The 11505-nt window shown below is 47.3% G+C and overlaps 1 protein-coding gene and 1 long non-coding RNA gene across 3 annotated transcripts in view, besides 1 other annotated feature; one reads left to right on the forward strand and one right to left on the reverse strand.

Annotated features, from left to right (window-relative positions):
* KRT86-AS2 (KRT86 antisense RNA 2) lies at nt 300-6719 on the reverse strand. The gene is made up of 2 exons (NR_199073.1): nt 6504-6719; nt 300-2640 (listed from the first exon to the last, which is right to left on the reverse strand). It is a non-coding gene; the product is annotated as a KRT86 antisense RNA 2 (long non-coding RNA).
* Nucleotides 2208-11505, forward strand: part of KRT86 (keratin 86) — a 34519-nt gene continuing 25221 nt past the window's right edge. For both annotated transcript variants that reach the window (XM_005268866.5, NM_001320198.2), the window contains exons 1-2: nt 2208-2285; nt 3384-3509. In XM_005268866.5, the coding sequence (XP_005268923.1) occupies nt 2283-2285; nt 3384-3509 (129 nt within the window). In that variant the 5' untranslated portion in view covers nt 2208-2282. The remainder of the gene's footprint in view (nt 2286-3383; nt 3510-11505) is intronic.
* Nucleotides 7640-8839: an enhancer, noted in NCBI's record as "MED14-independent group 3 enhancer chr12:52673861-52675060 (GRCh37/hg19 assembly coordinates)". NCBI's record gives its function as "activates an origin of replication core promoter dependent on BRD2, BRD4, P300/CBP and CDK7 cofactors, and independent of MED14, by STARR-seq in HCT116 cells {active_cell/tissue: HCT116}" and the evidence as "EXISTENCE:reporter gene assay evidence [ECO:0000049][PMID:35650434]".

Raw genomic sequence — 11505 nt, forward strand, 5'->3', positions numbered from 1 at the left:
ACATAAAATGCTCAACATAAAAGATTGATAAATTAGATTACATTAAAACTAACAACTTTATTTTTCAAAATAGGTGATAAAGTGAAAAGATAAGCTGTAAACTTGATAATATTTGTGATATATGTAAGTGATATAATAGTAATACTCAGAAATATAAAGAACACTTATAATCCTTTAGAATACAGCAAAAACCCAATAGAAAAAAATGGACAAAAGAAAAGGAAATACACATGTAATAGACATTTAAAGAGATATTAAACTTTAACAGTAATCATGAAAATACAAAGCAAGACCAAAAATGAGATTGCATTATTTAATTGTTGAAAATTAAGACACATTAAAGAGGATACGAATCTTTTTCACATTGCTGAGCAAAGTGTGAATTGTTATAACAACTTTGGAAAATAATTTTATATTATCTTATAAAGTTAACACCTTTATAAGATTCTGACCATCCTATGAGTCAGAAGTTCTGTTTGTAGTTGTATACAAATCCTCACATATGTGCATCGGAGGACATGTAGAAAAATGTTCATGGCACCACCTTTGTAAGAGAAAGAAACAAAACAAAACAGTAATAGAATTACCTAAAGTGTGGTATAGTTACACAATGGAATACTATAAGAATGGAATATTAATATTATAATGGAGGAATACTAGCAACATAATGTTGAATAAAACAAGACCCTGTGTGACACACTTTTTATAAAAAAAGAACAAAAAAACTGAAACAAATATATATTGAGGCATATGCATGTATTTGATAAAGCTAAGAAAAAACAAAGGAATTATATCAACTTTAGGGAAGTGGTTACCTCTGGGGTGGTTAGGAGAGGACAGGGTAGGGAAGGAGCATGGAGCTAAATGTAAATTACTAGTAAGATTTTAGTTTTGGGATCAGTAAGTAGGTTCATGAGTATTTCATTTTCATTATATTATAATAATAAAGTAATATGCTAGTTATAAGAAATAAACTTAAAACATGAGGACATAAGTTGAAAGTAAAAGAATGTGTTAAGGTGATTGGTTAGATCAGATTGCCTTACACATAGTAGAAGTAAATGATTTTTCCATGAAACTTATTTCAGTAGATGTGGTGTATTTGTACGTAGGTAGTGATTCATGATACAACATATATTTCTTATTTAGAGTTGAGGTTAAAAAACAGTTTGACAACTAGTACCCCAAAGAACCTCTTGTTGAGGTCCACCAGCAGATATGTACAAGAAAGTTCATGGCAGCATTGTTTGTTACAACAAAAACAAAAAACACATGTGCTACCTATAGGAAAATAGAGATATATGTATATGTGTGTGTCTATATCTGTATCTATCTATATATATGTAGTCATACTTTGGAATACTATACAACACTGAGAAATAAAACTACATGCATCAAAAAGATGAATCTCAAAACTAGTATGTTGAGGAGGAAAAAGCAAGTCATAGAAATGTACAAGGTGTAATTCTATTTATATAAAACTTAAAGGTAGGCAAAACTCAACACTAGTTTATGGATACACGTTATGACATAGTAATAAAGAAAAGCAAGGGAATGACCAATATAAAAACTCAGGACAGTGGTTACTTTGGGGATCAGATGGGGTTGGAGATGGATCAGCAAAAATCCCGCAGGGGGCTTTGAAGGTACTGGTGGGTACACAAGGATTTGTTTTATTATTGTTGCTATTGAAATCAATAAATGTAGGTTTTGCATACTCTTTTGCATATATGAGAAATTTATAAAACAAAAAGAAAATGCTGACCACAGCTTGTGCTCTCTAGCCCCTACTCATTCCTACAGGTTAAAGTCATTGCCCTACCCAAGATTTCCTACCAAGTCTTGGGACTGGCATCCCCAGTCCCAATTTCTTGCCCTCCTGTCAATCTTCTGCACTGCTTCTAGACAATCACATCTCATGTCAGGCCACTGTCCTGCTCAGACACCCTCTGTGGCTCCCCAGTGCCCATCCATAAGCCTAAGCTCCTCAGCTCCACACATTTCCTCCACCTGAGGTAGCCTTCCCCTCCTCCACTTTCCTTTAAGTTCCACTTCAGCCCAGAAACTTCCATTTTCCCACCTGGGGTCAGAGTATGGCCCTCTTCTACCCTATGCCCCTGAGGCCTCCTGGGCAGAACTCTGTGATTGTAATGAGATGAGGTCACAGAGCCCCCAGGAAGAAGAGGCCCTAGTCCTCAGTGGCAAGGATTCTGGTAGCTCTTGGGCTGAAGCTGGGCTTTGGTGCTCAAGAGAGGCTTGGAGGAGACCACAGTTCTTTCTCCATGGTGAGACTCATACACGTGGCTCCCTGGTCACACAGGGATGAGGTGTCTTGGACTTCACCCAGATCTGTTGGGCATACAGCTTTTGGGAACAGGAGCAGAAAAGTTGGGGGCAGTGGGAACACAGCAGAAATTGAGATGATGTTTTGAGGTCTGTTCCCCCACACTCCATCTGCCCTAGAAGAAAGTTTGCAATGGGCTGGTGTGAACAGTTCTTGCTCTCTGGGTTGAGGGGGTGTGTATAACCTTGGTGGAGAGCAAAGAGCATGGGCTTAAAATGTAGTCTGGCTCAACTGTCGGCTGGCAGGGTCACTCACTCCCCTCTTGCACGTGGTGGATGGAATGAGCCCCAGTTTGCCTGAGGAAAGACAATGGGAAAAGTCACATCCATCTGGCCAACTTCATGGGTGGTTGTGAGGCCCCAGTGAGATCGTGGAGTAAAAGCTTGTGAAAAGCATCAGGCACTGTGCAAGTGTGAGTTATTGTTCCCTGGCTATTCGTGTATTGAATGCACATGGGGGCGAGGTGCAAGAAGGGAAGTGGTCCCCTGATTTCATAGACAGCACTTCCCATAGCAGCCTTGGGTTTGGGGAAGAAGCTGGAATCTAGATCACTGTCCCTGGTTTCTGATTAATGGCATTCAAATTAAGGACATTTCTTCCTAATCCTAGATTTTAAAATGTGTTTTTTAAATTAGGAAATATTGAATTTCATTAATTTTTTTTGTACTAATTTAAATGGTTAGATGTTGTAAACTACAATAATCAGTTTCCTAGAGTTTAACTCTCCCTGTTCCTGGGATAAACCCTATGTGATCTTGGTCCCAAAGCTCCCCTCAACAGATCACTGCCCTGTGTTGCTGCCCTTCCTGCCTGAGTTCAGGCTTCCTTTGGCATCTTCTGGCCCCATGGGCACAAGGCAAGCTCACTGTGTTCTTTCAACAACCTTTGGAGATAGGAAAAATGATCACTCCCATTTCACAGATGGAGAAAGGGATGCCCAGAGAAGCTAGGTGACCACTGGTGACAGCAGGTGGATGGGCAGCCCTGTCTGGCCTCCTCACCTCCTGACTACAGCTCCCCTCTGCCGTCTGCTCCACAGTGTGAGGAATTAAAGGCAACTGTGCAGAAACACACGCAGAGCCTGAAGCCCAGCAAGGAGGATCTGAACAGGCTTAATCAGGCCATCCAGTGGCTGACGGTGGAGGTGGGCAGTGCTGAGAGTCAGGTGAGAGGTGGGAGTGGGGGGCAACAGAGTGGCCATGGTGGGATGGTGACCATTATTTATGACAACTGCCCCTCCCCACCTACCCTTTGGATTAGATGGCTACACTTTCTCTTAGTGAATGTCTAAGCATACAGCAGTGCAGCTGCATGCATATATCATGCTTACCTCTGCCTAGGACATTGTGTATTTTATGTAAGTAATGAACATGTAGGTAAATCTGTATGAAGATATATGCTTGTTTGTACATTATTATCTTTTTACTTGTGTATGTTCATTTTTATGTCTGTGTTTTGTTTTTCTCGCTCAGTATTACATTTGAGCCCATCTTCAGAAATTGCAAGATATTACCTAGAAACCCAGTTTTCTGGGTTCTATTTCAAAATGTGAAGATCTGGCAATGTTAAATTATGATTCTCAAATGGCAACATTTGGCTAGAGGAGAGAGGCCTCTATCATCTCTCTCTTCTTCACATGCGGTATAGGCTGCCTGGTGTGCCGCAGTCCCCACCACTCCCAATCCCATCCTTTGGATGTGAGGCAGAGGGTCCCTTGCCATTTATCACTGTCCTGGCTGCAAGTTATTATCCTTGTAGAAGAGAAAAGGTGCTGAGTCAATGTCGCCAGAGAAATGCAAGTCTGAAAATATAAAAGAGGTGCTGGTGATTTCAGGAAATGGGAGAGGGCAGATGTATTTGTGGAACTGGGTACTCCTGATGTATATTTAGCCTTCACCTTTTGATGCTTCCAGCTAGGCCTCTGCAAGCACTTGCATTTGTGAGCCTTAGAAAGGAGCTAGTCCTCCAGGATGTTTTCTTTCTCCCATTCTCTCTTAGCCTCCTCTCTTAACCCACCCACCTCCCAGCCCTCTCACACCCCCGCTGGCTCAAGTCTCACTCCATGGAGGGAAGGGCTTCTGTTCCCGGTCTTTTCTTGCTTTCTGCAGATGCAAGTGTCTCAGGCTTGGAAGGGTATTCATGGAGAGAGATCTCCCTTGTACAGGAATGGGTGACTCTGAGAAGGGATAAGCTGCTGAGGTTCTGAGGGGGCAGAGTGAGTGGGTGGGCCATCATGGTCAGGGTCCCACCAGCCACAGCTGTTCTGGTTCCCCAAGCAGCAAATACACTTCACCAAGGTCTTATTATTTTTCCTCCTGAAGAGTATAAACTCTAGGTTCCCGTGAGGAATGGATATTCTTCTTGCTAGTTTTCCTTAGGAAACAATAACCACAGCATTACATGCCAAAGAGCATTGGATGCTTCTGGGATCCTGGCTCATATTAGGAGTTTCTCCATACTAGACGTAAAAGGCTCTCTCTCAGCCATCCTAGATAGCCGGTTTCAAATCTTCACCCTGAAGGTAGACAGGTGGGCAGGTTCTTTTCATCTTGCCATACAGACAAACAAACACAAGTTTTGGAACAGGTGTGCTCACTCCTTGCAACCATGGACAATCTCCAATCCCTCATTGGCTCTGCAGCCTCAGAGCAAGGTCTGGATCCTTAAGGGGGAAGGAGTGAGGGCCAATAATGTCCTTCTGTCCTTGGTCTACCCTTCGCTCCCTACGCCCTGTGAACTAGAGGAAGTCAAGGACCCGCCAGCTCTGCAGGAGGAGGGTGGCTCTGGCAGCACCAAGGGCAAGCTGGCTTGGCTGGAGGCTGCCCTGCAGCGAGCTAAGCAGGATGTGATGTAGCAGCTGTGTGAGTACTGAGAGCTGTGATCGTCAAGTGGGGCCTGGACTTTGAGATTGCTGCCTGCCACAAGCTGCTGGAGGGTGAAGAGAGTGGATGATGGGTCAGCTGGGAAGTGCTTCAGATGTGGCTGCAGTGAGGAGTGCAGGGGCACAGGGCAGCACCACGCTCATCAGCCAGGGAAGGGTGGAGAGAGATGACCTAGGTATCCAGGAACTCGTTCCTCTAGAGCTAGGTTTCTCTCACCATCTTACAGCCCTTTGAACAAAAAGTTCTAGCTGATGTGTACTTTTGGCACCTGGGACGGGGTGACCCATAGTCATCCACCCCAGTATCAGAGACCAGGGGCCGGTTTGTCCATGGAGACAGCTGCAGGGACCAAGGCCTAGCCAGTGGGAATAAGGTCTCTGTGTGAAGTGCCTTCTTCTCAACTCTGCCCCTCTCCCCAGGCCTGGGGAAGGTGGGGTTACATGACCAGGTGGGGCTTGGCTTTCAACTCAGTAGACAACAGTAGGAGACAAGGGCTGTCACCAGGCTAGGGGAGGGAGGGGGAACTGATCACCCATGCCACAGGCATATTGCATTGATCACCTCCTTTAACACCTCACAAAACCCTGGCAGGGAGGTCCTATTATCCCCATTTTACAGATGAGGGGTAAGTTTCAGAGAGGTTAAGTGACAGCTTTAGGGACACACACTAGTCTTCAGATTATGGAGCTACCTGCTCTGGGGTCTCCTGTAGAGGTTTAAAATGTTCCCTCACGGTCTCACCTTCCAAGATCAAGTCAGGCCAAAGAAAGTGTAGTTTTTTTTTTTTTTTTTTTGGTCTTCTCTTTCCTCCAAAAAGTCATCAACAAAAGTGAGTTATATGAATTTAAGGCAGGAGTGATCAGAGAGCGCCAGGGAGCTTGCAGGGTGGAAGGACTGCTGTCTGGGAGGGTCAGGAGTGTGTGTCCTGGGGAATGCAGAATACCAAACCTAGTAGACAGATGGACTCACCTGCTTCCTTCTTTCCGCTGGCTTGGTCTGGGATTTGGGGCAAGGAGCATCAGTAAGTAAACAGTAGGCTGGCATGGTCGGATCTTATCTTATTATCTTATTCTCCTTATTCCCTCCTTCCCCGTCCACACCTTGGCGTGCCTCCTCTTGAGAAGGCAGAAGGGCTGTGTTTCTGTTCCTGTGTCTGTGACAGCTCCCTCTGTGCCTCTCCTTTTGTCGGGGGCTATTTCTTCTCTCGGGGGTGACTGCGTTTGCGTGTGTGGGGAAGGGGGTCCTGTGGTCTGTTCTCTGGGGAGAGGTCTGTTTACCTGTTCCTTTCGGGGAGTTTGTACATCTGTCTCCTGGTGGGGAGGAGGGTCTGTGTATCTGGAGGAGATGTCTGCAAGTCTGTCTTCTGGGGCTTGGGGTGGGGGGAGGAAGGGCTTTCCTCCCTCGGACAGTCGTCCTCCGTTCAGCCGGGCTCCGCCTGCCTGCTCCAGCCCCGAGCAGGCTCCGGCGCCCTGGAGACGAGCGCCCCTGGCGGCGGCTACGCGCTCTGCGGCTCTCCCGGCTGTGTCCGTGGGCTTTAGCTACACAGCTCCCGCAGATGTTGAACCCTTCCCGCCTCCCTCCGGAGAAGACAAGGAACCCTCAGCTTCTGCCCTAAAGACTTAGCCCTCTTGTGTCAGATGCCCCCTCCCATAGAGCTGACCCCACATCATCTTTCCTTTTTGCCTCCCACACCGGGACGTGAGGCGTTGGAGCACAGCTTACAGGACTATGACTGACCATCCCCAGTGCAGATGGCCTGGACGCTGGTGCCATTGGGTAGAGGTGGCCAGCTTACCTGGACCAAGAACCCTGCCCCTCTGAACTGTTCCCACCCCTTCTTTCCAGGGACTTCTCTGCAATAAAAAGTTGTGGAGTGGTCTGAGCTGCCAGGAGTTTAAACCCGGATTCTCCAGGCCATTCCCAGAGCACAGACAAACCTGGCTGCGGTGGAGGGGTCAGGGCGAGAACAGTACCAGGAAGCAACCTCCTCCCCTCCTGCTGTGAGGGTCTATGTGACTTAAGTATATGATGATTCGATATTATAGAACCAGAGTCTTTAGGATGGGGAGCCCGGAGTCCATGGGGAAAGCGAGAGAAAGGGTTCATTCATGCAGAAGAGTCTAGCCTGGGGCCCATAGCTTCTGGGCAGCAGAGCTGAGAATTCCATTCTCCATCCATCCATTCACTCTACACATACTTACTGAATGGCCTCATAGTGCTTGGTTCAGGGGACAGGATGGTGAGGAAGACACTCTAGGATTCCTGGAGATGAGGTTCTGGGTAGGGAGGTGGGCCATAGACGAGGAAACCGAGCAGAAACAGAAAAGGGTGAGATGGGGATTGGGCCAGTGCCTTCTATCACCCTGATGGGGCATTTGAAGACAGGTGGCCCTTGCAGATGGGGGCTGGAGAGAGATGAACACAATTGGGTGGCCCAAGCTTGGGTTCTGGTTTAACACACAATTGGGCCACCGAGTTGTGTTAATATGATCTGGTGGCGGGCAGAGGAACAACACACTATGGTGGAGGAAATTGTGGGCTGTGAAATCAGACGGAGGCTCCAGCTCTGTCTCTACTTCAGATCCAGGGTGTAAGTTGGTCCGAGTTTTTACAAGGCATTGGATTTTGGTGGTCGGAAGATAGAGTGGGGTGGCTAGATAAAGGCTGGATTTCTGGGTTCTTTCCCTGCCACACAGACCCAAGAGAAGCTTCTGTACAGTGAGCCCACATTCCTTTCTATTGCATGAAATTACATCATCAATGCAACAATAGTTTCTGCTTTCTATGTCCCTGGGTGGGGCTGAAGTGCGTCATTGGCCAGAGGCTTGGGCTTTACTTTTTAAGGCACTCTAGTGCCAGAGTGTCTGCTGTGTTCTTCTGGGTGCCTGCCCAGAGGACAGGTATCCAAAAGGCCCTCTTCTTGTGTAAACAGAAAAGTCTCATGCAAGAGGAATGGGACTGAAACTTGGCTAGCCGGATGCCACCCTCCTGAGGGGTAGGGGGCATGACCCCACTGGGCTCACACATCAGCCCTGGTTGATAAATACTGACCTGCCAACACTCGCAAATGCAAACAAGCTGCCTGAAGATTCTTTCAAGATTCTTTAGTCCAGCTCTGTGCTCCTTGCATTTTGCTAGGGGATCATGAGATTCTCTGCTATTCAAGCCCAATTTTCTCCAGCTCCTGCTATGATGATCATGTCAACAAGGGAACTTTGTGGGAATTGTAGGCAGGATCTAGGATGTACATTCTGCAACCTGCGTCACTCAGGACTGTTGCTCACATTTTCCCTTTTCAAATACCGAACCTGGACTTGCCTGATGTCAATCCAGAAGATCCCCAGGGCTTTGGGGTCAGGTTTGAGTTTCTTCCTGGGCCAGGGCCCTGTGGATCACAAGCAATGTTTGTGGTTTGGAGACTAATTCCCTGAGAGGCTCCCCTGGCCATGGGCCACATTCCAGACTGGGGTGGGAGGAAACTGCCCAGTGCATTTATGGAGAGTCATTCCCCAGCCCATTTATAAGCTTTGTGAGTCGGGTGGCTTCTGAAGGGAGGAGGGCTGTCCTCAGTTCAGTCATTGCTTCTCAGCAGAAGGGCACTATAAGGTGTGAGTCCTCTGTTGGCTCTGCATGCCTGCCTCACACTCCGTTGTATTTAAACATGTCAGATGCTAACTTGGCTGTGGTCATGTCTCTATCTGAGCCCCAGGAGGGCAGTGAAGGTCTCATCCATCCTCAGGGTCTGCCACAGAGTAGATGTGATGGGGTTGAGGCTGCATGGTCCTGGTTGGTGTGTCCTGTCCTGAGATGTATTGGGCCCTGTTTTTGACCATTGGCATGTGGCATTCTGCATAACCCCTTGGAAGTCTCTTGTGGAGTCTAAATGCAGTCCTTCCTGCTGTGATTTCAGCTGTAAGAGATCAACCAGACCAGCCTGGAGTAAGGAAGGAAGGGCCTTGATCCTGTTCCCAGTCTTATTCTTACCTTGTCCAAACTCTTCACCTGTTTCTGGGCCTCAGTCCTGCCCTCCTCTAGATCTAAATTGTGAAGATTCTTTTTTTCCTTCTTATTTAATTTTAAATTTATTTTTGTAGTGATGAAGTCTTGCTCTATCACCCAGGCTAGAGTGCAGTGGCAGGATTATAGCTCACTGCAGCCTCAACCTCCTGGGCTGAAGCGATCCTCCTGCCTCAACCTCCTCAGTAGCTGGGACTACAGGCACATGCCTCCACGCTCTGCTAATTAAAAAAAAAGTTTTGTAGAGATGGGGTCTCACCATACTGCCCAGGCTGGTCTCAAACTCTTGGCCTCAAGCAATCCTCCTGCCTCAGCCTCCCAAAGTGCTGGGATTACAGATGTGAGCCACTGTGCTTGGCTTTCTTTTTCCTTGTTTTCTTCCCTACTTAGTCCCTCTGAGCCAAAGGTTAGCTGCAAAATAGAGTAACTATCAGAGGGTTGTTTGAGAAAAGGTATTGCTGCATGTAAAGTGCTTAAAGCATAGGAAGTTATGTAAGTGTAACTATTATTTCACTTACTGGAATTCTTTAGAAGGTTTTTGAGCCCCCTGAAACAATTTTTTTTTTTTTTGAGACAAAGCCTTGCTCTGTCGCCCAGGCTGGACTGCAGTGGCGCAATCTTGGCTCACTGCAAGCTCCGCCTCCCGGGTTCACACCATTCTTCCGCCTCAGCCTCCCAGATAGCTGGGACTACAGGCGCCTGCCACCGTGATGGGCTAATTTTGTTTTTGTATTTTTAGTAGAGACGATGTTTCTCTGTGTTAGCCAGGATGGTCTCGATCTTCTGACCTCGTGATCCGCCCGCCTCAGCCTCCCAAAGTGCTGGGATTACAGGCGTGAGCCACCGCGCCCGGCCAAGTTTTGAGCCCCTTTAAAGAAAGCTCTCCAAAGTCCAAGGGTGGCTGAACTCCATCTGCCCCACCTGGAGTGAGAGTGACCATAGGGCAGGAGGAATAAGTAGGCAAGCCTAGGGGTTAGAGCAAGGGCTCCTTGGCCAGAGGGCACCTCCCTAGTATGACCCCCAGCAGCATCTGCCCATCACTACGCCCACTTTAGCCCCACTCCCCATCGGTGACCCCTACCTCACCAGCACACATGGGTCTACCCATGTACCCACACTGCACTCACATCCACATGTACCCACAAATCTCCCTTTTTCAGCACATAGATGCACACATGTCCACCATGTATAATCACACATTTAGAAACCCTCACCATCTCTCTCACACACACGTTTCCACACAGGTGCCTGGAATGTGCATGTACCTGGATGCAATCATATTGCTCCACTCGCAGTTACCTCTAGGCATTGAGCAATGCAGAATGAATATACAAACAACATGCGCATACACTGCACAGTTGCATGAAACCTGGACTCCCCATTTCCCTCTAGCCCCTAATCCTGTCCCACCTCTCCCAAAGAATAACAGAGTTGACTGGGTGCGGTGGCTCATGCCTGTAATCCCAGCACTTTGGGAGGCTGAGGTGGGTGGATCACAAGGTCAGGAGTTTGAGACCAGCCTGGACAATAAGGTGAAACCCCGTCAGTACTAAAAATACAAAAATTAGCCCGGTGTGGTGCAGGCACCTGTAGTTCCAGCTACTTGGGAGGCTGAGGCAGGAGAATTGCTTGAACTAGTGAGGTGGAGGTTGCAGTGAGCTGAGCCTGCACCACCGCACTCCAGCCTGGGCAACAGGGTGAAACTGTCTCACAAAAAAAAAAAAAAAAAAAAAAAAGAATAATAGAGCTTTAAATTGGTAAGGGATGTTAGTAGCCACCTAATCCAAGCATTTTTTTTTTTTTTTTTTTTTTTTTGAGACAGAGTCTCGCTCTTGTTGCCCAGGCTGGAATGCAATGGCGCCATCTTGGCTCACTGCAACCTCCACCTCTCAGGCTCAAGCAATTCTCCTGTCTCAGCCTCCCAAGTAGCTGGAATTACAGGCACATACCACCACGCCTGGCTAATTTTTTGTATTTTCAGTAGAGATGGGGTTTCTTCCTATTGGTCACGCTGGTCTCAAACTCCTGACCTCAGGTGATCTGCCCACCTCGGCCTCCCAAAGTGCTGGGATTACAGGCGTGAGCCACCACGCCCAGCCCCAAACATTGTATTTCATTAGCAGATACACTAAGGCCCAGAGATGGGAGGTGACTTGCTAAAGGTCACACAGTGAGATGTTCCATTTTCTTCACCATTCTGCACCCGGGGCATTATGTGTTTGATTCCTTCCCGCCTTGCTCCTCTGTCTGAGCCTGTGCAGG

The sequence above is a fragment of the Homo sapiens genome, chromosome 12 (genome assembly GCF_000001405.40).
Source record: "Homo sapiens chromosome 12, GRCh38.p14 Primary Assembly".
Classification (NCBI taxonomy): domain Eukaryota; kingdom Metazoa; phylum Chordata; class Mammalia; order Primates; family Hominidae; genus Homo; species Homo sapiens.